Consider the following 27,428-nt stretch of genomic DNA (forward strand, 5'->3'; position numbering starts at 1 on the left):
AACTGACCGTTGGGTGCTATGCCCAATGACTGGGTGACAAGATCAAACCCCAGCACCACACAGTATACCCATGGAACAAACCTGCACATCCACCCCCTGAATCTAAAGTAAAAGTTGAAATTTTAAAAACAGGAAAAAAGTTTTTTAAGGGAAAAATAAATAAATAAATAAAGTGTGTGTGCTAATTCCTCAATTTCGATAGCCACATTGTGCTCCCAGAGGAGTGTTTTTCTGTAGGGATTGCGTGAATCACACACTAAGGCATTGGGAGTGATGGAGCGTTATGTTAGCAATTTAATTTTAAATGGTTCTGGGGAAAGTTCTCCATACTGTTCTTGCAATCTTCTTTTTAAGTTTGAGATTGTTTCAAAATTAAAAGTAAAAAAAAAAAAAAAATGTATTGTCCATGGAGAGAAAGCCAGCTTTCCCTAAAGTGTGAACATAGAGACGCCCCACCCTTTCCTAGGACAACCATGGCTGCTGCTGCTAACTGAGCCAGCTGAGTTCCAGGCGCAGTGCAGGCATCTGCTCCAGGCATGACTTGGTCATCCTATGGGAGCTGGGGCAGGCACCAGACACACTTGCCTGAACACAGGAAATGGACTGGGAAGTGCAGGCCAAGGGATCTCCAAGCCCAGCTTCGGGAATCTGTCTCATTCCTGCTCCTCTGGGCTGAGGCTTTCTGGAGGCTGAATCTAGGCAGAACCCATAGGTGGGCAAATGTGATCTCAAGGCCCCACTGTGACTTGTGACCAGAGGAGCCTCTCCCTCAATATTATAGCAAGATTCTCAGGGACTCTGGATTGGGCTATGGCGGAACCAATCCGTGTGGCTGCTAGTGCAGAGAGGCACTCTGTTTGGGCATGCAGGGTCACATGCTTAGGGGAACCGCCCTACCCAGCCCACATGGCTTGAACTCTGAACCTGGTGGGTTGGTTAAGCCAACAAGGGGAAGGAGTCAGTGGAAGTGGGGTTGGGAAAGGGGGCCTCCATGTGTCTGCACCTGCCTGACACTACCTGCCCCATACCACACCCTCCTGACACTGCCCACCCCTACCCCACCCTCCTGACACTGCCTACCCAATACCCCACCCTCCTGTCACTGTCTACCCAATACCCCACCCTCCTGACACTGTCTACCCAATACCCCACCCTCCTGACACTGTCTGCCCCATACCCCACCTTCCTGACACTGTCTGCCCCATACCCCACCCTCCTGACACTGCCTGCCCCATACCCCACCCTCCTGACACTGCCTACCCCATACCCCACCCTCCTGACACTGTCCCATGCCTGCACCCACCTGACACTGTCTGCTTCATACCCCACCCTCCTGACACTGTCTACCCCATAACCTACCCTCCTGACACTGTCTGCTTCACATCCCACCCTCCTGACGCTGCCTGCCCCATATTCCACCCTCCTGATGCTGCCTGTGCCATACCCCACCCCCCTGACGCTGCCTACCCAATACCCCACCCTCCTGACAATGCCTACCCCATAACCTACCCTCCTGACACTGTCTACCCCATAACCCACCCCCCTGACACTGTCTGTCCCATACCCCACCCCCCTGACACTGTCTACCCCATACCCCACCCCCCTGACACCGTCTACCCCATACCCCACCCTACTGACATTGTCTGACCTATTCCCCACCCTCCTGACACTGTCTACCCCATGCCCCACCCTCCTGACATTGTCTGACCCATACCCCACCCTCCTGACACTGTCTACCCCATACCCCACCCTCCTGACATTGTCTGACCCATACCCAACCCTCCTGACACTGTCTGTCCCATGCCTGCCCCCACCTGACACTGTCTACCTCATACCCCACCCTCCTGACACTGTCTGCCCTATAACCCACCCTCTTGATGCTGCCTGCCCCATATTCCACCCTCCTGATGCTGCCTGCCCCATACCCCAGGCTGGGGTGCTCAAACCTTCTCCTTCCTAGAACCCCCAGTGCACAAGACTCGGGAGGTGGGTGGTGCTCCCTGCCTTTTGCCCCCAGGCTGATTTCTCAAGAAGGCTCATTAGAGGGTGATTGGGAGGAATACTTGAGCCAGAGCTATTTGGGAGGGGTCCCTGCCCTCTTAGGTGCCCACCTCCCCACCCAGCAGCTCCCATGCCACCCCACCCTCTTGCCTGGGTCACAGTGACCTTTGTCTGGGGCAGAAATCAAGCCTCCACCCTCCACCACCGGGCAGAGCATCAGGGATGAGTGCCGACCCAGCCAGCCCGGATCTCAGCTTTCCGAGGGAAGGGCAGCTCTCAGCAAGGCTTCCTCCACTCCCCTCTCTGCTGCGATGAGTTTTGTTTTACAAAGTGTACAAACAAATAACTCCGGTATTTGTTTGGTAGACTTAGGTTTTTGTGTTTGTGTTTTGCTTAAAGTGGGACATGTCTATCACTCAGCATACCCAAACCACCTAGTTGTAAGACAAGATTTACATTTGTTCCTTAAGTAGTCAGCTCCTGTCAGTGGATGCAGCATGAAAACGTGACAAGTCATGGACTTCAACAGTCGGAAACATCTCTAAACGGTGTGTCCAGACATCACTGTAATATGTGGACTGTCTACATCAGAACCACTGGCTTACTTACTAAAAATGCAAATTCTAGGCTTGCCCATGGACTCAAAAGGTGTGGAACAGAATCCAAGAATCTCCTTTTAGAGTGGCAAGGGACTAGGGGGACAGGGGCTTCTGACCAAGAATGAGAAACCATGACGAAGGCAGTAATGTTCACAGGAGATGTGTGTGTGTGTGTGCGAGCGTGTGTGTGCGTGTGTGTGCGTGCACGTGTGTGCACGCACGCGTGTGCGTGCGCATGTGTGTGCGTGTGTGTGCGCGTCTGCGTGTGGGTGTGGGTGTGCGCGTGCGTGCCGTGTGCGCATGTGTCTGCGTGTGTGTGTGTGCGCGCATGTGTGTGTGTGCGTGCATGTGTGTGCATGTGTTTCCGTGTGTGTGCGTGTGCATGCATGTGCGTGTGCGTGTGTGCGCATGTGTGTGCGTGTGTGTGCATGTGCGTGTGTGTGCGTGTGTGCGTGTGTGTGCACGTGTGCACACGTGTGCGTGTGTGTTTCTGTGTATGAGACAGAGAGACAGAGACAGAGGTGAGGTGGGTCCCTGAAAATCTGATTTCAAAGAGGTCAGCGGGTGCTGGTGTTCTGGTGCCACACACTGCACTTTTATCTCTTTGATCCACAACAAGAAAGCAGAAATGAAAACTTCCTTCTCTTCTTTGTTAAAATAGGCTGTCTTCTCAGCCCAGCAGAAGAGCCCTCAGCCATACCAGGGCTAGCCAGCCTTCCAGAGGAGCCTGTCCCCTGCTCTCCTGGGGACCCCAGCACCGGCTGAAGCCTCCAGAGTGACTCATGGCTCTATGTCCATCACTGCAGCTCTGGAGGAGTAACCACGGCACACATACCCTTCTATGGGACACCTGCAAATACTTTTCAATAAGCTCGAGTCCATTTCATCATCAACACAAACAGAAAGACCCTCCACTAGGTCTCTCACCCGCTTGACATAAATTTGTTTTTCATATTCCTCATGGAAAATAGAGCTACGCTTGATCAGGAAGGTGAAAATGGAATGGGTGAGGGTATTTAAATTCTCTCTTCTCTCTCTTCCCTCCTTGCTATGTGTACTTGGAATAAGTGCACACGCTCAGCTTTAAGAGCTGTTTGGGACTTGGGAACCAGCTTGCCTGGACATCAGAGGCCACAAAGTCCGTCCCTGTCTCTTTGCAGTCTGTGCAGTTGCCCCGGTTGGTGGAGCCATGGTGGCTGTGCCCTGTGGGTTGTGAATGATTGCAGGGGGGCTGCGGATCAATAAATGCTGCAAGAATGACCCATAAATCAAAGAGCAATATGCCTCCCACTCATAAATGGGGCCATTTTTCAAAAAGACGTCGATGGTGTGGTGGTCAGTAATGCACACTCAGGCTGAAGGGTGGCTGCATCCCTGGGAGCTTCAGGTCTCTGTTTTCCAGAAATTCAAGACACTCACCTTGTGTCTGTGACACTTTCTTAATGTTTAAAATCAGTCCTCCAGAGGTAACATGATAAGGACCGAGAACAAACCAGGGGTTGCTGGTGAACACCAGGGAAGGACTGACAGCATGAGGCATAGAGTTTAGATGTTCAGCCCTGGGAGGGAGAAAGAGGCATGGGGGAGCTCAAGCCTACGGCCCACCTCCTCCTCTCCTCCTAGTGGAGTCCAGGCTGGCTGCTGAGCACCTCACACCCAGGAAGATTATTGCCTCTTTGTGTCCAGATTAACTGTCCCCAAAAGTGACCAGGTTCTCTGATTCACCCCCACCACCTTCACCCTGGCAGACAGGAGCCTGGGCCCTTGGCCGTGTGAACTGAGACCAGCCGACACCCTGCTGGACTCCAGCTCCTCGGCCCTGGTTCAGCCCACCCAAGACCCATAGTCCTGCCTGTCTCTGCCCAGTGACGGTTTAACTCCTACCTAGTCCATACCATGTTCCCAAAACGTTTCTCAGTGAGAAGGATACAAGTAGCCTTCCTTCAGGCCTCCACGTGCTTCCAGTAGATGCCTTGTGATGCTCTCTCCTGGGCCCTACTCTCCTTCTCCTTCCTCCACTCAGGCAGGTGGTTCTCCTGGTGCCTCCAGAGGTGAGCACACAGCAGGGCAGAGAGCCAGCGTCACCATGGACACCTCTTGGCTCTTGTTTCCCAAAATCCCAAACCAAGAGAAGAGGGAAGAGGCAGAAAGTTCAGGCAGGTGCAGAACGTGGGGGCTTCCTGCGGACTAAATAGACCACCCAGTGGGCCTGAAGGAGCTGGGAGGCTGCAGACCTCAAAGCTGAGAGACCTCAGGCTCTCCTGGATCGCTTGTCCTGGGAAGTGATTCCATGATATTCTTGGTCTCCCCAAAGCACAGCACGAAGGGACACCAGGTGGCCCAACCCAGTGGGGACCACCTGTGGCCAGAGGGCTTTTCGGTGCCTCGGCCTTGCCTGAGTCTTTGAAATAACCCTGGTGAGGTGGGGAGGAAGCGGCTGGGAATCAGAACTCGCCTTACAAACTGGAAGTGGGATTTTCCACAGAGAGGAGGCCAGGTGTAAAACCGAATGAGGATGATTTATGAAAAGCAAGGAAATGCAAAGTCCCTGCAGACTGAGGTTCACAGCTTCCCCACGCTCTGCCTGCACCTCCGGCCATCCCTTGGTTCACGCTGACAGCCTCGCCCCCTGAGCCTGCTCAGTGGAGGCTCCTATGTGAGGGAAGCCTATGTTCGGCCACCAGAGGAACCCGGCAAAGTGGGCGGGCACCTTCCCTTCTCCACCTGCCTCTGTTGTGAGGGTGAATGGCCCAGACTCCCTGAGAAGGTCTCGTGCTCACCAGACACCTTTCCAGTTTTAAGAACGCCACCTTTCCTCAGCCCTTGAAGTCCCACAGACCCCACAGAGCCTCTCCTGGCTCTTGTTTTGTATCCTAGGAAGGTCACATGTTCTTTAGGGCAGTCATTACCCACGCTCTCCCCAGGGTGGGAAGTTACCCAGTGCCTCCAAGGAAAAACAAGTTCCCTCCAACTTAAAGTGGCTAAAAGTGGCTATGATTTCAATGCTTTCGTTCCCTCTGCCCAGGGAGGTGGCTGAGGAGAAATGGATTGAGACTGAAGGTCGTCGGAACGTGCGTGGCCCCGTGCTGAGCGCCGTGTGGTCACCAGCCTGTTCCACCCACATGTACGGCCCAGGGACTTGGGAGGGACACAGAGACACGGAGCAGCAGGGAGGCCACGTTGCCAGCACCCCAGCCATGCCTCCTGAAAAGCAGGAGCATGGACACGTTACCCCTCCACCCTCGGGCCTCGTCCCCTCAGTCCCCTCCTCCAGCAGGTGGACGTGACACTGTGGGCAGATGCACGGGCATTGCAAGGGGCCACTGGAGAATCCACAGGAACTGAGCTGCATCCACGACAGAGGGCTGGAAGTAGAGGCAGAATGTGGGTGGCCTGGAGCTTCTCCTACGGGTGGCCTGAAGTGGGAAAATAATAATGGACATTTGGACTCATTCCTCATCACACAAAAAAAGTGCCAAGATGGAGCAGAGCACAGGACGTTGCAAGGACAGTGATCTCAGCCCAGGGCCAGGGCAGGGTCATGTCAGACCATCCCTGATAGCCGAGACATGGCAGGTTCCCAATGCCACACTGACCCGGTGGTTTTCAGAGCTTTCCCTTGCATCACCCCCAACTGCCCACGGTGACCCTGAATTAAAGGAACCTGCCAGCCCTTGGATCTGCGATGCCCCTGCCTGACCCACACCATCCTGCTGTGTGCCCACACATCCTCTGAGTCATGCAATGGGCTCACTGCACATGGAAGCCAATATTATAGCCCTGGCTTTTGAGAAAAGAAAAGGTTTCATTGCAAGGCCAACCAGCAAGGAGACAGGAGGCAGGGCTCAAATCCGAATCCCCAGTATTGGGTCAGGTGAGACTTTCATGGGTTGGGGAGGGCAGGTTAGTATGCAGACGCACTGGCGGGGCGGATTTTAATGGGACGGCTTTGAACGTGGTTATTTATGGTAAGGTGTGGAATGGTGGACTTCAGCACTGGCTCTTCCTGGATAACAGACTGCTTGTTTCTGAAAGGTTCCAGTGTTTGCGTTCCAGTGATGCCCAGGCTTTTTGGTTCCTCCAGTAAGAAACGTTGGTTCTAAGTGTTACTGAAGGTTATGGTTTCCTCCTCTCCACATGCCCAGGTCACATGACTGCAGTTTCACCTCTGCTACTTCTGCAAAATAGCCTGACATCCTGTGATCCACATGATAGGGACAGTTAGGGCTGGTCCTGCAGTGACAGTCCTTCCCAAGTCTCCCGGGTGCTGACAGATAAAACAGTTTTAACCTGACCTAAAGTCTCAAACTAGGCTTGAGGACATTTAATAGAAATGATTGGTAAAGTGACGCCATCACAGGCCATAATTAAACACATCCAAACAGCCTAATCTATGCACAGTTACATCTAAATAAAGTCACCCACTCACACCATGCTGGCATCTTTTTTAGATAAATCATCCAATTTCTTGCCCACATACTCTTCCAAAAGGTTGTGCCGCCCTGAGCAGCCAGGTCTGTGACGGAGGTTTGTACTCCACACTGCTGCTCACTCTCCTCTCCAGAGCCCAGCACTGGCTTCCGCTGGACCACCCAGAGAACCCCACAGGCGCCCTGCTGGCTCCCCTCAGCCTCTGGCAGCTCCTGAGTCCCAGCACCCAGGTTGCTCCCCAGGTCCGTTCAGCCCCACCTCTGGGAGGGAGGGCCTGGCCTTGGAATTTCCTGAAGCTCCCAGGTGACTCCAACCAGCAGCCAAGCCCAAGAGCCCCTAATTCAGGCAATCAGAGTGCGTGCATGGTCATATTTTGTCATGTAAACCCCACATTCTCCAAGTAAAAATTGAGGCCGGCACTGGGTACTCAATAAGATCATTAAAAGCCTAATGATCATGACTAATGTTCAACCGCAGAGGGCATGGAGGCACACTGACCACTGACGGCACAGTCAGGGAGGGCGGGGCCATAGAGACAGAATGACAGGGAACCACATGAACCCACCGGTGACCACCACTCCCTCACCCAGGAGACGGCCAAAAGCTCCCCAAGTGCAGAGGGGCGAATCTGCTGGCCCTGAGCTGCCTGCTCCCCTGGCTTCTCAAACCCAAGCACCTCCGCACCCCACTGAGTGCTGAGACCTGCGATTTCACACTCTGAGCATCATTGCACTCAGCTGGGGAGCACACAGTGCCTCCATGCAGTGCAGTGTGCATTGTGCAGAACCTACACCTGCTGTCACCCTGCACCTGGCCCCTCACTCGCTGTCCCCACCCACGTTCTCACATTGCTGTTCCCCCTTTAAAGGCCCTTGGGTTCAGAGGGTGCCCTGAGCAGTGGGGCTCCTGTGAGCATTTGAGTGCTTGCCCAGAGCCAGACTCCAAAGTGGACACAAAACAAGAGAGCTAAGAATGACCACACTAAGTGGAGCATGCCATTACCAAAGTAAACATAAAATGTTTCTGCTTAAAATAAAATAAATCCAATAATTTCCAGGTCCCGGGAATTTATTCGGAACCCCTATAGACTGCTAGATGGTCGCCCTCAAGTCATGGAGGCACAGGGGAAAACCAATGAACGTCCAAAGCTGTGCTTTCTCAAAACAGACGATTCCATCCTCTCCCCATTGTGGTCCCAAGAAAATCACACCAGTGGAGCAGTAAGAATGGGGGCTTGGTGTGGATCATCACAGCCCCGTAACTGAGGGACGGAGGTGGAGACGACCCAGGAATAAACCACAAAGTGAATGGGCTCCAGGTGGCTCCATCGAGAGCCATGAGTCCCATTGGGGAGAGGTGACATATGCTCTGTGCTTCTTTGTATTTAGAGCCCCTGCCCTCTAGAAAATATTTTTACTCAAAATTAAGTTGTCATTGAGATATCATTTTATTTTTATTATGAATAGATTTCACCTAAACTCAATAAAGCTGAATGTATGTCTTTGAGATTTTTTAAATGTGTGGAAAGGAAGTAAATCCCACCCCGGTACATGACCCTGGTATTCTCAGCACCGTGCTTCTGAAATCTTCCTGAAGTCGATCTTTTTTCCCCTCCCTTCCTCCTCTCCATTCATTTATGACCCAGACCCTGTCGTAGGCACTGAATATACAGCAGGGAAGGAGACAGGCCCAGATCTGGCTCTGGTGGGGCTCACATCCCACCAGGTCTAATAGAAACAAACAGGGGACGAAACATTTTCATTAGAGCTAGTGCCATGAGCAAAAGGAAACAAGATGAGTGGGGGTCACCACAGCTCCTAGCGTGGGACAGGCAGAGATGGCTGCTCCGAGAGGGTGAATTTGTGAGACTTACAGAACAGGAGACAGACCCAGCGCAGAATGCCCCAAAGCAGAGGGAACGCCGTACTTGCCAAATCCTGCAGGAAATGCCAGGCAGAGATGACCAGGACAGAGCTTCCCTGAAGTAACCTGCACGGCAGTCTGGGAAAGAAAAGTCAAGGTCCTTTATGGAGGACTCGCCTGACACCAGGCTCGGCTGTGAAGTGCTTCCCATAAACATAGGGCAGCAGCCGAGGTTCCTACTGCACACAGCAGTGTATTTCAGTCTGCGCCCGAGACCACACTCCTAACCACAACACTCTAGGACAGGTACACAGCAGGCTATAACCAACGGCAAAAACAGTAATGGACCTTGAGGACCAGAGAAGGGTCTGGCAGAAAGGAGGTCAGGACCTCGCCAGGTATAGATGATTCAGTGTGGCAGAGACTGGGCCAGAAAAGGCGCTGTGAAATCCACCCTGTTGGCTGGAACCCTTGTGCTGGGAGCCCTGAGTAAGCCCCCATGAAAGGCAGCTCAGGACGCCATGCTGTGAGGAAGCCCAGCCACACAGAGGCCACGTGCGCCACAGACATGGGAGTGAGCAAACCTACTACTGACTCAAATCTTCCCAAATGACACACCACACCCTGGGCCCCTTCCAAATTCCTTACCCACAGAATCCGTGAGCACAGCAAAACGGTTGTTGTTGTACTAAGTTTGGGGTAGCTTGCTGTGTACCCATAATAACTGACAACCAAGGATGTGCAAAATAAAGCAAGAGTGCTGATGCCTCTGAAGTGCTACAGTGACTTCAACGAGAGGACCCGTGCTCTAGCCCCAGTCCCTGAGTCTGAGAGGTCAAAACGGGAACATTAGAAACTTACCTACCCTCATTTGACAGGAAAGGCTCAGGGACGTGGCTGTCTCAAAGGCAGGTGACGAGGGGGTCTGAACTGCAACGTGGACCTCCCCATCCCCTTCTCACCCTGGGGATGCTTTCTGCCTTGCCACCACCCCCACATAAAAGTCCTATGAACAGGAAGCCAGTGCACTGTAAACACTGATGCCACTTGGAGAAATCCTCTCAAAAAGGGGTGCATAGAAGCTAAGAGCTTCCTCATCACTGAGTAATACATTTAACCTGTTTCATTAATATGTTAACAACGGTAAGCAGAAAACATTTAATTAGCCAGAGCTTTGCTTGTTTTCTCTGAATTTTAAAGGCTTTCCAGGACATGCACTGGGATACATGCATCTCTAAAATCTTGAGGAAAGTGTGAGCCAGCACCTTCTTGACCCGAGGTGGATCCCGTTAGCAGCCAGAGGTGCATGGAGCCCAGGCTGCAGGCTGGCCTCTGCGGGGCGATCCCCTCTGCTTTCCTCTTCCTTCTCCTCCTTTCCAACATCTTCAGAGGGGGCTGAAAGCAAATTAATGAACACACTTATATAGACAGGTTGAGCACTTATAATCTGAAAATCTGAAATCTGAAATGCTCTAAAATCCAAAATTTCGTAAACATCAACATGACACTGAAAATTCCACCCCTGACCTCATGTGATAGAGGTCAAAATTTTGTTTCATGCACAAAATTATTTAAATTATTATATAAAATTACCTTCAGGCTGTGTTTTAAGGTATGTTTGAAACATAAGTGAGTTTTGCGTTTAGACATAAGTGGGTCTCATCCTCCAAGATAGCTCATTACATGTATGTGCATATTCCAAAATCCAAAAATATTGGAAATCCAAAACACTCCTGGTCCCAAGCACTTCAGATAAGGGATACTCAATCTGTGTGTACATACACACGCACATATGAATGCATTTGTGTGTGTGCAGGCGTGTGTGTATGTATTTAGAGATAGATTTGCAAAGGTTATTTGGTTGCTCCCTGATCACGGCACCATCTTGATTCTAGGATCTCTTGAAGGTCAGTTAAAGGAACCAACAAATGAGCAGGGAAGTGTGTTGATAACTAAAAGTAACCGTGCATGAGACTCTGCTGGATAAGACAAGCAAAAAAATTGAGGGCAAAGGACTTGAGCTGCTAAAATAAGCAAGAGGGCAAGCCCTATGTCCACAGGGAAGTGGGGACGCCATCAAAGGATCAGAGACTCTATGCTGCATCTTGAAAAGCTGACAAATTCCATTATATATACATTTTATGCACCTAAACTCAACAATTTAAAATTCATGTTGGTCAACATTTTAAAGAGAAAGGCCCAGAAAAATAGCCATGTAAAAAGGGCAGCCAGTGGGACCCAAAAACCCACCCAACAGGTTCATGTGGCCAGAGAGCTTGAGACACACACTCTGCGGTTCTCTGGGTCGCGCTCAGCAGCCCCGTGCTTTCCATGGTTGTGGAGAGGTTTTGTTGAGCCGTGTCTCTCGTGTTTGCAGATTGGTAACCCATGGGCCCCACGGTACTGGCATCATGCAGGGCATGGCACAGGGAATAAAGCAGGGAACCCTGAACAGCAGGCCTTCATGAGTGACTGGGGATGTCTGCATGGGTTTCAGCCTCCACCCTGTAAGCCAACAGGAGATCCCAGCTGTAATCCGGACCAACTCTGCTCTGCATGAGAGCAATGCATTCCTCAGCATTGTTCACACAGCTCCTTGCTAAGGTTCCACTGCCATACTTGCTGTCTCTTCATAGCCCTGGTTGCCCTTCTCAGGGAGAGAGCTTGCACTGACCTGGGGGTAGTGGTCGAGAGATGATGTACCCACAGCTTGGGTGGGACAGGGGATCACCATCTTCCTCCAATCCCCACTCTTCCAGAGATGCAGCTCACAATCACCTCAGCCCTAAACCAATCTTACTGAAAGCACATGCCATCCATGCAAAAGAATAGATGTATACAGCATAATGTGGCACAAAGCCGTGATTACTAAAACAGAGCATTCTCAGGAAACGGGCCTGGCATCTTTAATTCCTAAGGCACTAATGGAGTTGATCTCATCCCTCAAATACCTCTGGTCTCAAAGCTTTGATAAATGTGAGAACAGGGTGGGTCTTCGGGAAATAGAGACAGTAGCAGGAAAATCCAAAAATAGCATCAGAGGATCCTTCGAAAAACATAGTAGACAGAGAGAGAGAGAGAGAGAGACGTCACCTGTACATGGAAGGCAGCTCGACCAAGACAAAACTCAGGAAGATTCCAGGCAGTGAAAGGTGCATATCGCAGTATCATACCCCTTCAAGACACCTTTAAGTAATCCATTTGCAAAAAACACCAGTCTCATCTGAGGAAAACAAATCCCAGGATAGCCAATCAGTGAATTACAGTCTTAGCAGGCACTTGCCAGAGGAGGCCGTGTCAAGTGAGACCCGAGAATCAGACCACACCAAAATTCTGCAGGGAGTCAAAGAAAAACGTACAGAAATGCTCACATCAGTGTTAGTCATAATGCCCAGAAAGCAGCCACTGGTGGGCATATGGATGAGCCAAATGTGGTCCATCCATAAGGTAATGTGGTCCATCCATACGGTGGAACACTGTGGAACCCTGAAAGGGAAGGAAGCTGTGATCCCTCCTGCTGCCACAAAATGGACTTGAAAACACTGTGCTTGGTGAAAGAAGCCAACACAAAAGACACACACTAGTTGATATAGTTCTATGAAATGCCCAGAATAGGCTAATCTGTAGAGACAGAAAGCAGATTCCTGGTTGTCAGGTGGCAGGGGAGGCGGGACTGGGATGTCACCGCCAACAGGGCAGGGATTCTTTCCTGGGTGATGTAAACATTCTGAAGTTAGATGGTGATGGTCACACGGCATTGTGGATGTACTAAAAGCCACTATTTCCTACACTTCAAAATTGTTAAAATAGTGTCACGTTATGTGAATTCTACCTCAATTTTATAAACTCTACTTGGTTAATCCGTTTTTTAAAATTCTGCAGTGGCAGCATCTGGCCAGGGCTCCTTTGTCAGCATGCCCTGGGTGGGGTGAGGAAAGTGGCCCCACAACCTGCTTACCAGGGGAGGAAAAATGGCCCACAAGGTGCCAGGAAGCCAGTGGGATCCAGCTAGAATTTACGGATAAACCATAACCTGGTTTTTAAAATATTTCACACAAAGGATCTTAAATCCCAAGAAATAGAAACATGCTGCCAGTTCCTTTCACGGATCCCACCAGGAAGGGGGCATGGAGAGGACCTGAGACAGGCGGGGGCCTCTCTTGCTCTGTTTTCAGTCAACCTCAACCATGGTTGATGAGTCCTGGGGGGCTCCATGCCAGCAAACGGCCTCTCTGATGGCCTTTGTTCTTGAGGCTCCTGTAGGAGAAAAAAAAAGAAAAAGAAAATCCCGTTCAATCACCATAACCTGTCCCTGCAAGAGCATAAAAATAAGTGATTGCTTATTTGAAACACCTGAACTATCACTGCTGCAACAACTCAGGAAATCTGATAAGATGATAATGAAAACTGTGTCATGCATGAATATCCATTTTAAAAACACACTTATGTCAGTCTGTACGTAAAGGTCGAAATTAATGTTATGTTGAAAACATTTTTCAGGGCACAATTATCTTGACTCATGAAGTGAATCGAATTCCTATTAGGTTTACAGTCTTGGGTTTAAGCCTCACACATTTCACCAGAAGGGCTTCACCAATCAAAGTAAAAGCTGAATTAAAGAGAGATCACAAGGACCTTCTATCCCTGGAGCTGGTTGTCTTTGTTCAGCCTTCTGGGTCACATCTTGCCCTCCAGGGAGAAGCGGCTGATGAGTCAGAAGGCGCTTGAGAAGACGTCCTTCTCCCAGTGAGTCCCATGGACCCCCAGATGCTGAGGCATGACTCTTCCCACTGGGTGGTATCTGCGACCTGGAGCTCCTGGCCCAAGAGCCTCCAGTCAGTGCATCACTGGAGCAGCAAGGGACACCTGCTATGTCCCCTGCCCACAGGCGGGGAGCAGCCACCAACAGGGCTCCAGATGCTCTTTTGCACAGGCATGTCTCTTCCCACTGGGTGGCATCTGCGACCTGGAGCCCCTGGCCCAAGACCTGCCAGTCACTGCATCACTGGAGCAGCAAGGGACACTCACTGTGTCCCCTCCCCACAGGCGGGAGCAGCCACCAATAGGCTCCAGAGGCTGATGGGGAGCCACTGTGTGGTGCATCCCCCCTGCCCAGCAGCCGTTTTGGTGTTTTCTTGATGCCCGGAAGGTGGACAGTACCATGTGGAAGTGACTCAACGTATTAGCCATCTATAGCTCCATAATGCCATATACTTAGCAGCTTTAAACAACACCCATTTGCCACCGTGCAGCACTGCAGCTCGGAAGTCCTGGCAGGCTTGACTGGGCTCTCTGCCTTTGCCCTTACAAGCTGGAACCGGTGTCAGCTCCGCTGTACTGTGGGTGGAGGCTCCAGGGAAGATCAGCTTCCGGCCTCATCCAGGTTGTGCCAAAATTCAGTTCCTTGTGGTTCCAGGACTGAAGTCCCTGTTTTCTCGTGTCTATCAGCCAAGGACTATTCTCAGTCCATGAAGGCTGCTCTCAGGTCCTGACCCATGACCCCCTCCACATCACCATCAGGAATGGAGCAGCTCCCTGGTGGCAAACACTCTGTCACCCATAGGTCCCTCCGACTTCCACTTCCACCACCAGCTCGAGAATATCTTCTGCTGTAAAGGGTGTGTGAAGCTCAGCCCAGCTGGGTAATCTGCTATTTTAAAGTCGAAGGATTAGGAACTTTCTCCATTCACTTGTGCTGCTGCAACACAATACCTGAGACTGGGGATTCAAAAAGAAGAGAATTCATTTCTCACAGTTCTGGAGGTTGGCAAGTCCAAGGTCAAGGAGCCAGCAGGTTCAGTGTCTGAGGAGGGCCTAGTGTCTGCTTCCAAGATGACACCTGTTGCTGTGTCATCTGAGGGAATGAACGCAGTGTCCTCACATGGTAGAAGACAAAGGGGGCACGAGCCTACGGTGCTCCCCTCAGCCTCTTTTATAAGGATGTGAATCCCATTCATGGGGGTTCCATCCTCGTGACTTCATTCCCCCACCTCTTAATACTCTCACTTGGGTGATTAAGTTTCAACATATGAATTTTGGGGGACACACTCAGACCATAGCAGTAAACCTAATTACACCTGCATCAGTGAATCCAATCTTCAAAGTCTTGGGGATTAGAGTGGGAAATCTTGAAGGCCATATTAGAATTCTGCCTCCCACACCTGGTGAGTTAGGAATACTCACCATAAGCTCAAAAATCAAGCTCTGTTCAAGTATTCCCCACCCTCCATTTGCACACAATTTCCAGGTCTTCTGATTTTACTACTACTAATAATAATAGTGGTGGCTAGCCCTTCGTGCCAGGCCCTCTGTTCCACACCTAAAAACTGGTCTCATTTAAAACACACAATCCTCTATGAAGCTAACTCTATTACTAGTTCCATTTTGCAGAGAAGAAGACTGAAGCTCAAAGAGGTAAGGCGATGTGCCCAGGTGATTCAGCCAGTGCATGTGTGGAGCCATGAAAAGGCAGGACCCAAAGTGACAGCAGGGGCTCCTACCCCAGACCCGAGCAGTGGCCGTTAGTTTCAGCCTCTGTGTGCACTGAGTGCCTGGGTGCGGGCACCCGGCTCCTAAGCCCACACACTATGGTCCGCCATCTCTCCAGCTGGTCTGGGGGCCAGCTTCTGTGTGCACTGAGTGCCTGGGTGCAGGTACCCAGCTCCTGAGCCCACACTATGATCCACCATCTCTCCAGCTGTAGGCCCCCAGCCTCACCTCTGTGGCTTCTTCCCTGCCCTCCACTGGCCTATAAGCAAAAATCACAGAGTTTTTAAATGTTCATCATTTGCTGTTGACTTGTTCCCCTGAGGGCTTGATAGAGATGACTAGCACACATATGAAAAAGTGTTGATAAAAGATTAAAATGCAAGATCATGGAAGATCCAGATCAGCAAAGAAAATCCAGTCTAAGGGTAAGGCTGAAGGCCACACTCTCATGTCTCATCCAGTTCCTAAAGCTGAAACATAAATTTTACTCTGAGCTCCCTAGTGGAAAAAGCAAAAACAAAACCACAGAAAATTAATTGTGCAGAGGTGGAGGTTGCAGTGAGCTGAGATTGCAACACTGCACTCCAGCCTGAGCAACAGAGTAAGACTCTGTCTCAAAAAAATTTTTAAAAAAGAAAAGAAAATTATCTGTGCAAAAGTAAAATAATCCAACTCCTTAAAAAAGCAAAATTTTTTCCCAACTCACAGAGCAAGAAAGCAGTTTGCCTTGTGAACCTCATATAAGCGGCACTGATTATCATGGTAGAAAACCCTTGGCAGCATTTCTAAAGCAAATGCAGGCCTGGGCGGTCTCATGGAATTTCCCTTACGGACCTTACGGGCAACCAGGGCCCATCATGAGCACCAAGCACAATGCAGTGAGCATGGATTCACAGTTATCTGGGAAGCAAGACAGATTCCGAATTCCAGAGACTCAGCCCAATACACCCCAAAGAATGGAGGTTCTGCATGCCCTCCAAAGACCCTGCACAAATGCCCTTCCTCTCAACAAGGGCAAACAACTGATGATTCAGGGTTCTCATCTCAGATCAGAACCTGGTGGGCAGATATTCTCTCTCTATTGCCAAAAATTAAATAATCTAATCAAATGAGAAAGGTTGAGTAGACAGATCTTTCATGAAAATGTATAAGACTAACCAAGGCCCTTAACAAGACGATCCAACCCTGAAGAGAAGTTGGATGGAAGAACTTACATATGGGACCAGATTTACACACACATACACACATGGACACAAACATATAATGCATGCATGTATATGCACATATATACATATCTATGCAAATGTACACACGTATACACAAACCCATATATGCACACACATACACATCAACATATACATACACATGTGCACACATGCCATCATATACATGAACATGCAAATACATACATGCAAATATACAGAGGCATATACACATAGGCATAAATATACACTCATATATGCACACATATACACACCTAATAAACACACACTCACCCACACATGACAATTCTGATTGCAGCAAACACTCATGTTTATAATTTCTCCACTTTCTAACATAGCCAAAAAATTTTTAGTCCAGAAACTTTTCAAAGCAAATTGAACCATCACTAATCATGGTCATAGACAACTTTCAATGATGAAGCAACACTGATATCTGGTTTAGAGCAACATAAGTTTCAGTGACACTGTCACAATAAACTGCTGAAAAAAATCTGAAACTCTCCAAGGGGCCAGCTGAAGTGGCTTGCACCTGTAATCCCAGCTACTCGGGAGGCTGAGGCAGGAGGATCTGGAGACCAGGAGTTCGAGGCCTGCCTAGGCAGTGTAATGAGACCTGCATCTCAAAATAAAATAGAATAAAATAAAATCTTTTAAAAACAAATTCAAGGATCCCAAAGAATTCTGAAGAGTCCAAGTGAACTGAAGAGGAAAGAGCGAGTCGTTCACCTGAGAGAGCTGGAAGAGTGCAGGATGACCTCAGGGCTGTCTTGAAGGCCTTGACCTTGTCTTTCTTTTCCTGCACCCTCCACATTTTCTTCCCCTCTGTGGGGCCAGAGGAGCACCTTCATCACCTTTCAGTGCCTTTCAGTGACCAAGCACCATGTCCCTCCACCTGCACCCTGGTAGCCAATGTGCTTTGCATCACACCTGCCTCGGGCCAGCCACACCTTGGATGATTTCGCTAACACTGTTGGCTCTCTACTGATTCACCTAAACATTCCCCAGCACTAAAGACATTTAATTTGCTTTCACAGTGAAGAATCCACTCTATTCCATACATTTATAACACTTTTCAGCTGCAACTCTAAACCGAGTAATTAAACTGAAATGACCTTTTCTGTAGACATGTGGTTTTATTTGGTTTTACTCACTTGACAAGTGTTTCTGTGTTCTAAGCATGTGCCTGCATTTGCTCTGTTTAACCCTTTAACAACCTTATGAGGTAGACACAGTGATCATCCATATTTTACCAGTGGAGAAACTGAGCCACAGAGCAGTTAAATCGCTTGTTTGCCCACACAGTCACAAAGCTAAAACATTTTCTCTACAGGGGACCAACAAAATGTTTTGAAGAACTGGTAAAATGTAGACTTAGATATACTTTGGAAAGAATTATGAAACACAGATTCCACAGAAATGTTCCAGGAGAATTCACAGAATTTTTAAGATCATCCTTTAAAACACTCCTCATGCCCAGAAAGCCATCTCTGAACTCCACAGCCTTTCTGGGTCTCACTGCTCTCTGCACCCCTCCCCTGGCCAGCACAGAAAACATGCTCTTCTCTCTCCATAGCCATTTCCCTCTGGCCTCCACAGCCAGGTTTCAAATTGTGTGGAGGGAAAGAGCCTAGCACTGGGAACTGAAATGGAATGAATTAGAGGACACAGACTGCCCAAGTGGGCAGAATTCTAATGTGACCCCTGACCCAGTGAGCTTCCCCTTGAGATATGAGATGGAGCACCTGTGACCCTGTTAGGTTATATGACAAATGAGAGATTATCCCACTGCACCTGACCTAGCCACATGAACCCTTGAAAAGCAGAGAATTTTCTCCAACTAGTGGAAGAAATGAAGTCAGCCAGATTCCATGACCTTACGGTGTCAACATGGCATCACCGGTTTTAAAGACAGAGGGAACCCATGGTGAGCAACACAGGGGCCCCCAGGCTGAGAGCAGCCCCTGGCTAACACGCGGCCTGAGTCACCAAGAACCGAGTCCTGCCCAGCACCTAAGTGTGCCGGGGAGGAGATTCTTCCCCAGGACCCAAGAAGAGCCCAGCCCAGCTGACACCTTGACTTCCACCTTGTGAGATCAGAGAAGCCCACTGAAGACACGGACTTCTGTCCTACAGAGCTGTGGGACACTGAGCAGGTACTGCTCCAAGCCACTGTGTCTGTGGCCATTTGTCACACAGCACAGGTGACTAACGAATGCCTGAGGAGTGGGCGTGGGGCCCAGGTGATGCAGGGCCCCAGAGGGAGGAGCAGGGCAACAGCCTGGCACAGCGAACCTCCAGCAGACTGAGGGGCACACGCTGTGGGGTGGCTGGGAGGAGGGGCTGGAGCATGCCGTTAGGCACCAACAGTTAAAACAGACCATGCTGCACCCTCTGAGTCCTGGCTTCACCCCTTGGAACCTGTGTGGCCTTAGGGAGCTGACCTCCCTCAACCTCAGCTCCTTTATCAGTGACCTCCAACCTTGAGGTTGGAGTGTGCCCACCATGCGGGGTTGCCATAAGGATTAAATCAAAGGCCCCACAGGGAGCCCTGGCCCAGTACTGACACACGGGCAGGGTCTGCACACATTGAACATGGGAAGGGATGCAGCCTGCCACTTGGTGGCAGACAAAACATTGGCCCCCAAAGATGTCCACCTCCTAATCCCCAGAACCTGTATGTTGCCTTACATGGCAAAGAGGGCCTTGCAGATACTGTTAGGTTCAGGATTCTGAGATGGGGACATGAGTCAGGTGGGCCCAAGGTCACCACAAGGGTCCTCACGAGAGGCAGAGACAGAGGTGGCAGCCTGACCACAGAGGATGCAGGGGGCAGGGACCACACTGCCGCAGCAAAGACAGAGGAATGGGCCAGGAGCCCAGGCGTGCAGGAGCCACAGGGGCTGGGACAGGCCAGGACACATCTTCTCCCCAGAGCCTCCAGAAGGACCAGCCCTGACGGCACCTTCAGCCCACTAAGGCTGATTTTGGACTTCAGCCCTCCAGAATCGTACAAAAATAAATGTGTTGTTTTAAGCCACTAACTTTGTGGTAATTTGTTACAGCAGCCCCAGGGAAGTAACATACCCTTCCTGAAACCACACCATCCTTAAGACTTAGCCTGTGCATAGGCCCAGGGGAGAGGCAGGGGACACTAGCAGGAATGAAGCCTCCCAGCCAGCCTCATCCTGCTTATTTGCAGGAGGTCACCCAGGGAACCATATTCCCTGCAGCTCCCATGAGGCACAGATTTATGCAAAAAATAAAATTATTAGAAGTAATAGGAGGGCAGTTCTTGGGAATTCCACTTTGACCATTGCACACAGGAGACTGCCAAGCCTCAGGACCACAAACCAGTGCCAGACACACAAGTGGATATCACAGGTCAAAGACAGCACAGAACCAGAAAGGGGAGAAGAGGTGGGAGGGCTTAGACCACACAAAAACCTTAACTCTGCCCATCGGTTTGAGGGGCAGAATCCTGATGAGTGGTGGAAGGCCCCCAGATGGTTATGCCAGGGCGTGCTATGTACAATGTGTGTAGGTGTACGCATGCACACAGGCACACAGCACAGATGTGCTTAATTGCCAATAAACCATGTAGAGCCTATGGAAGTCATACAGGCATACTTGTTCCAGACAAGGCTTTTCGTTACAAGATGACAGCTCAGAGATGCCTCTCCTGGTGTCCTGGCTTCCGGCCTGTGAAGGGTTATCAGAGCCATACTTCTTGTTTCCCTGAGGAAAGGAGAGGGGACAACACCGGCTTGGCTTGTAAGGTCTCAGGGAACTTTATAACCTGTGAAAGACAGTGGAAGTAGATATTATGGTTTAACAAATCCTCATTTGGCACTTACTATTTATTCCAAGGTAGGGATCTTTTTATCGTGCCCATTTTACAGATAGGAAAACTGAGGCCTAGAGAGATCAAGGGATTTGTCTAAGACCCCACTGTCTGCAAGGGGCAGAGGCAGGCTTGAATTCAGGCAGTCTAGACCCAGAGGATATAGAAAATGCACCCGCATCAGCATCATGACTGCTGTGGATGGAATATTTGTGTCCCCACAAAATTCATATGTTGAAGCCCTAGCCCCTAATGCAATGGTATTGGAGATGGGTCCTTGAGAGGTAATGAGGATTAGATGAGGTCATGAGGGTGGGGCCCTCATGGTAGGATTAGTGCCCTCATAAGGAGAGACACCAGAGAGCTTTCTCTCTCTCTCTCTCCCCTCCACCCCCACCAAGTTCATGGGCAGGTCATGTGAGCAAACTACAAGCCAGAGTGAGATGCAGCAGGGACCCCTCTCAGGGACTTTCCAGGCCCCCAAGCATTGAAATAAAGGAAAATCTTGAGTTCCTTCAAGGAAAATTCCAGGCACCCAGATAGCCCTGAGAAGTAAATGAGCAACTTGATAAGCAAGAAGGTAACAGTAGCTTAAAACAGTGGCCAGGGAAGACAGGAAATGTTTGGTTTCCCAGAGAAGCTAAAGATAGCATCTTAACAAATGTCTTTCAGCTGTCTTTCAGAAACCCAGACCCCCACCAAGTGGATCTGCTGGTGCTTAAGCCTCAGATAAGGTGAACTTTGGACTGAACCTTGACCTCTGTTCTTTGCTCTAAATTTCTTCCTGAGCGGCCTGGGCCCATGGGCCATATTCCACATTCTTTTCTGCTAATCCCAAATTTCCAGACAAAGCTTTGTCTCTTTAACCAATTGCAAATCAGAAATGTTTTTAAATCCACCTATGACCTGTGGGTCCACTCTTGGAGATGTCCTGCCTCTTTGGGTCAAACCAAAGTACAGCCTCCATGTCTTGATTTATGACTTCGGCCATCACCTCTGCGTGCCCTCCTTTGAAAACCCTTACCTTAGGGTAAGCCATGAGGGAGGTCAGATCTTAAGCATGAGCTGCCCAATTCTCCTTGCTTGGTGCCCTGCGATAAATGCCTCACTTTCTCTCGCTGCAATACTGATGTCAGTGTTTGGCCACGACCCCAGTTCAGTTTGATAACAAGAGAAGAGCCCTCAGAATAAAACCTACCTTGCTGGCACCCTGATCTTGGACTTCTCAGTGTCTAAAACTGAGAAATAAACTTCTGTTGTTTAAGCCACACAGTCTTCTGTATTCTGTTATGGTGGCCTGAACTGACTAACAGAGATTTGGGGTTGCTGAAAACAGGGACCTAGTTTATAGAAGCAAATCTCCACACCATGGTGCACTGTGACTGTCCAACACAATCCTCTCTGTTCAAAATCGTTGCCTGCAACGAGCAGAGAGGTTTCCAGCGAACTCTTCCTGGGTCCTCCCACCTTCCCCATGGCAGCCTGGAGCCCTGGAGCCATGGCATCTGGTTCCTGCACATCAGCACCTGGGAAGCCGAGATGTTCCCGAAAGCTAGGTGCCGACCACCGGGATCTCCCCTTCTCCTGTCCTGCCCAGTGTTCAGGGACAGTGCACCAGAGAGAACCTGAACACTGATTGCAAGTAGAGCCTCCAAAATCCTTATCTTTGTTTAGATGAAGACAAAAGAGGTGAGGAAGAAGGACTTGCAGCACAGAGGACATCTGTCATCGTCCACTCGCAATTCCCCATCATTCACACCCGCCTCCTATTTGTACTGCTTCTCCTGGTGTCAATGTTGCCCTCCAACATGGAATCTCAAGTCCTACACTTCCCAACCTCCCTGTTTATGGAGAGCAGACAGGCTGCTGTGGGATCGGTCACTGGGATGCACCCCTATGGGACTATGGCTTGGGACTGCCGTGTGGGAAGAGGTTGTCATGGTAACCAGGCACCCTCCCAATGCCTTGGGGACCACAGAAGAGGAGGAGCCTGGTCTAAGGCCTGAGGCTCAGGGAGGTGTCCAGGGATGACCCCTCTCCCCTGAACATGAGGCTAACATTTTGATGGCTCCAAGGATGGCCTTGAAAATAGGGTGCCCATTTGCCTTTTGCCATCCGCATCCTCAGGGTGTGCTGAAACTCTCTTTCAAATCAGTGAGAATGGTGTTGGAACAGGCTCTCCTAAAAGCACATGGCCCAGTCTCAAAAGACAAGTGTAATTTGGTCAAATGAGCCAAAGAACCATGAGAAAGCTGCCCAGAACCTAAGATTTGGGAGCCTGAAGATTCAAATCCCGCCTCTATCCCCGATGCCATGATGCTTATGTGCGGGCACTGAACATCGCTGAGTCTCAGCTTCTCCTCCTTATCTGGGGATCTGCCTACTTGCTGGGTGGTTTAGAGGCTTGAATGAAATCATTCAATTCACTTCAGCAAACACCTCTTGAGTACGCTGGAGCTCACTGTCTGGTCATGAGAGGAAAGCAGAAGAATCGTGGTCGAACGTTGTGGTCAGCATCACCAGTGGGCAGAGACGGGGTGCTCTGAGGGGCCCAGAGGGAGTGCTGGCTTCAGCTGGAGGAAGGTGGAACATGAATTCATCGCTGAGCAGGAGAGACGATGGGAGGACATTCTCAAACTATTGCCAAATATGTCCGATTCTAAGTTAAAGAAGCAGCTATGAAAAACAGAGAATAAACCCACCTAAGTGAACCAGGGAGAACTGGGAGACTGAAGAGCTCCTATGTTCTTGGAGGCTGCCATGCTGATGGCCCCAGGGAGACATGATTCGCCTGGAGATGCCCCAAACCTCATGGGAGACACACGTGTGGCCCAGTTTACTGTGGCCTACCTTCAGGGACATTTCTTCACCATGCCCTGCTCAGCAAAGAACCCAGTTACCCTTCAGAAAAAAGGTAAGTGAGCTCAGAAAGAACAAGCCAAGGTTGTTCCTAATGGTGATGGGTGACTTCACAGAGGGGCGGCAAGGCTGAGCAAGCAATAACCACGTGACTGGGCCAGAGCCTGGCCTTCAACCTGGTCTGCGTGCAGGAAGCAGACAATGGTTCAAAATCCCTGCCATCTGGCAGGCCTACCACATTTCTTCTGAATGCAGTGATCTAAGCTGTAAAAATGCATAGAATCGGCTACTTCTGTTCTGTGGATGTGTCTCTTTGAGAGAGTGTAAAGGAGAATTTAGGCCGATTGCTCCTGTCACCCTCAGCCCGTGGCCCTGGACTCCAATCTTCCTAACGCGACAAGGGCACTTGGCAGCTGCCCTCCCAGATTCTAAAGTCACCATTGCAGACAGTGACATGGTTCAGTTTCACCAGGACCTTGATGGATGGGAAAGGTGCTCTTAGTTCACGTGAAGACCCAGCGTGGACACTGAACTGTGTCACAGTGTGTTGAGTCTGCAATGGTGGAGACGGTTAAGAAAAAAAAAATGTTTTACCCTGCTAATTTCTAAAATTCAAGTAAAATAAAAGGGTAATGATCCAAAAAGCATTTTGGATTGTGAGATTCCCATCCTGAGAGAAGAGCAGCCAGAGATAGATTAAGGAGGTGGAAGTGTAAGAGTCCAAATGTGCAGGCCTGGGGACCTTACAACAGAAGGCAAGCAGATTAGAAAAGATGACACCCAGCACCCTTGGGAGCACTGAGCAATCCAGTCCCAGCTATTACCCTCACAAGCTGTGTGTCCTTGGGTAAGTCACTTAACCTCTCTGTGTGCCAGTTTCCTCATCATGGGGCTGTTGATAAGATTAGATGAGAACACTCATGTAAACATTCAGTATAATACCTGCCACTTAAATGGTAGTGATGACTGTTCAACAAAGCCCCACAGAGAGGCAGCGTTCTCACTTTTGAAGCAACATTGTGTATATCAATTTATTCAATAAATATTCCTGAAATGGTGAATACCTGGGTTATAGGAAACCGTCATATTTTACTTCAGCTGTTTAATTAAGGTGATTGTGATGAGTCTCTTTTTTAAATCATGAGGTGGCCTTTTGGTATGTGTTTGAATTATAAAATGCATATTTGTATCAGCATCTTATATATACAAAAATGCACCAGGTGCATTTGTGTGTCCATCAGCATTTTTCCAGCTAACACATCTGTTCTGTAGTGAATGTATGGAATTTTCTTCTTTTTGTGATTTCACTAAAATTTACAGGCAGTTACATTCTCATCTAGATGAAAATGTTAGCCTATGAGACTTCTCATGGTAGTTCTAGTTTTAGATACATTTCCAGGAGACCCTTTTAAGGTAGCTTTTCACTCAGTTTGTGTTTTGGTAGCACCTTCAGAAATCTATGACCAGTGAAGCTTGTCCTTAAGGAAAGAAGAAGATGGAAAATTCATTTACCCTTCTGTTCTTGGTGTTCTTGGTAAACACTAGTCAGGATCAGATGCACCTGATCAGTATCAGAAACCTCACCAGTTCATTTGAGCAGGAAGGGTTTGATACAGGGAATTGAGCAATGGCCAATCTTCTGGAAGGGCTGGAGGGGCTGGCATAAGCTGGTCACTCCTCCCTCCAGGAGCAGCCCAGGAAGATGCACAGAGCTGGCCCGCTGTGAACGTCTGCCTCCCCCATGGCCAAGGAGTCAAGGAATCCAGAGGCCACTGTCCCAACTGCTGGCTCCAGGACCCGGCCCTTCACCATGATCCAGTGAGACAGGAGAGAGGTTGGCAGGGTTGAACGGAGGTAGGAAAAGGAGCGAGGAGGGCAGGAGATGGGGTTAGGAAGCCCTTTTTCAGAAGCAGTATTCCTCCTGGCTGGATTTCTTGCAACACAAATCACTTTGAAATATTTAGCATTCATTTCCACTGGAGCTGTTCCTCTCTCTCCACTTCTTCACTAAATGTTAGGTTGAACCACATAAAACTGCCACTTTTGTAAGTCAAAGATGGGATGGGACTATATTGGTGATTTTATGTGGCTCACCTGAAACTGTCATCACCTCTAGGCTGGGCAGGGAGGGGAGTAATCCTGGCCACACCCAGGCCTCTCCACCTGGGACCTCTGCCCGCTCCCTGAGCGAGATCATGATGTCTCCTGGCTCAGCGGACATGTGGTCTCCAGCATTATTCTCCAGAAATGTCCACTGAGCTCCCCTCCAATTAATCTGTTCTAAGTTGTGTTAAGATATGGACAAAATGTCCCCTGAGCAATTTTCCAGGATGATAAATGATTACATTAACCTTTCCCTGACAGGTGGCTTTCTCTGTGGTTGGCCCTTTGTTTCTGTCCAGTTGGGCTCAAATGGCTAAGGGGTTAGAACAGGGGCATGTCTTGTCCAGCGCAGTACATGCCACATGCCTATATGCCACATGTCTACTCTCCATGCCTACATACCACATACCTACTCACCATGTGCCTCTACACCATGAGTCTAACCTCCACATGCCTACCTGCCACATACCCACCCTCCACCTGCCCACCCTCCACACACCCACCCTCCAGCTGCCTACCCTCCACACATGCCTACCCATCACGTGTCTACCCTCCATGTGCCTAAAACCACGTGCCTACACATCAGGAACCTATACACCACCCACCCACACACCAAATGCCAACTTCAGTACTGCAAACTGCAACAAGCACATGGTACTCAGAATCCCTTAGCTCTGCAAGTGACCTTGGAAAGTCCATGCAGCAAAGGAACCTTCTTCCTTGCTGATAGAGCTATGATTTTATGTGGGTCCCCACTTCATCCTCAGCTGCAACTTCTGATGGACCACATGGATCTTGTGATCCCATTCCCCTCGACTTAGCCTGTTTCTAACTAATGAGACAGAAGAGGAAGTCTGCTGAGAGTCTGGGAATGGCTTCTTGCTCCTAAAGTGTTAACACTGGTGTATTAATCCGTTCTCACACTGCTATAAAGAAATACCTGAGAGTGGGTAATTTATAAAGATTTAATTGGCTCACATTTCTGCAGGCTGTACAGGGGACTTCTGGGAGGCCTCAGGAAACTCTCAATCATGTCACAAGGCAAAAGGGAAGCAAGCATGTCTTACATGGCCGAAGCAGAAGGTGGGGAGTGGCAGGGTGCTACACACTTTAAACAACCAGATCTCGTGAGTACTCACTCACCATCACGAGAAGCAGCACAGAGAGGGAAATCTGCCCACGTGATCCAGTCACCTCCCACCAGGCCCACTTCCAACACTGGGGATGACAATGTGACAGGAGATTTGGGGGGACACAGATCCAAGCCCTATCAACTGGGAAAGAGCATTCCTTCTCCTTATCTGGTGGTTACCATGCACGGACATTGACGGCTGCAGCCCAGGAAGGGTCTGCCTGGAGCCAAGAGCCCATCACTCAACTGCGGGTCAGAGAGACTCGGGTCCTTGGCAGCACAGTCAAGCCCCAGGGCAAGGAGAGGTTAATGTAATCACTTCCCTTCCAGACAAAAGACAGAGTGGCTTTTCTTTTGTTTTACCTTAAGAAAAATTAAGATAGTTTAATTAGGACTAACTGGGAAAAGCAAGAGGAAAGTCAACAGTTTAATGAGGATTTCTGGAATCTGGACTACTGGCTTCTTTTCATGTTAGATAATAAATTATTTTCCCATTTAAGCCAATTTGAATGAACATTTTTAGTTAATTTGCACCCAAGTCACTCTGATTGAGGGTCAACTAATCTACCTCCTATTGCTAGGCAGAAGTTTCTCATCTCATCCCAGACAATGGGGACCTGCCTTCCCTTTAGAAGTCACTTTAAAATGGAACTACACAGTCGCCTTTTTAAACTGATTTAAAACTGATTCCAGTATTTAGTAAAACAACAGAAAACAACTCCTCTTCACACGTAGCCCACCTGCTGTTTAAAGCTCCCTTATTTCCTGATGTTAAGGTTCCCAGAGACAAGCGTGTGTTCCCTCTGTAGGCAGATTCTCCTACAGCTCAGAAGCCCATTTGGCTCAGCCATAAAACCCACCCTTGCTGCCACGAAGATGAGACTTTC

At 49.5% G+C, this 27,428-nt stretch overlaps 1 long non-coding RNA gene across 1 annotated transcript, besides 3 other annotated features; it reads right to left on the bottom strand.

Moving 5' to 3' along the window:
- Positions 5,286-5,787: an enhancer, noted in NCBI's record as "H3K4me1 hESC enhancer chr20:24796263-24796764 (GRCh37/hg19 assembly coordinates)". NCBI's record gives its function as "activates a minimal SCP1, AML or CMV promoter by ChIP-STARR-seq in primed H9 embryonic stem cells {active_cell/tissue: H9 hESC(primed)}" and the evidence as "EXISTENCE:reporter gene assay evidence [ECO:0000049][PMID:30033119]".
- Positions 5,788-6,287: an enhancer, noted in NCBI's record as "H3K4me1 hESC enhancer chr20:24796765-24797264 (GRCh37/hg19 assembly coordinates)". NCBI's record gives its function as "activates a minimal SCP1, AML or CMV promoter by ChIP-STARR-seq in primed H9 embryonic stem cells {active_cell/tissue: H9 hESC(primed)}" and the evidence as "EXISTENCE:reporter gene assay evidence [ECO:0000049][PMID:30033119]".
- Positions 8,455-13,270, bottom strand: LOC107985402 (uncharacterized). Its single transcript, XR_001754562.2, has 4 exons — positions 13,033-13,270; positions 11,988-12,117; positions 10,160-10,289; positions 8,455-9,032 (listed from the first exon to the last, which is right to left on the bottom strand). It is a non-coding gene; the product is annotated as an uncharacterized LOC107985402 (long non-coding RNA).
- Positions 15,261-15,435: a silencer, noted in NCBI's record as "fragment chr20:24806238-24806412 (GRCh37/hg19 assembly coordinates)". NCBI's record gives its function as "represses an EF-1alpha promoter that drives an FKBP-Casp9 reporter gene in an ReSE screen in phorbol 12-myristate 13-acetate-treated (for megakaryocytic differentiation) K562 erythroleukemia cells {active_cell/tissue: K562(+PMA)}" and the evidence as "EXISTENCE:reporter gene assay evidence [ECO:0000049][PMID:32094911]".

The sequence above is a fragment of the Homo sapiens genome, chromosome 20 (assembly GCF_000001405.40).
Source record: "Homo sapiens chromosome 20, GRCh38.p14 Primary Assembly".
Lineage (NCBI taxonomy): Eukaryota > Metazoa > Chordata > Mammalia > Primates > Hominidae > Homo > Homo sapiens.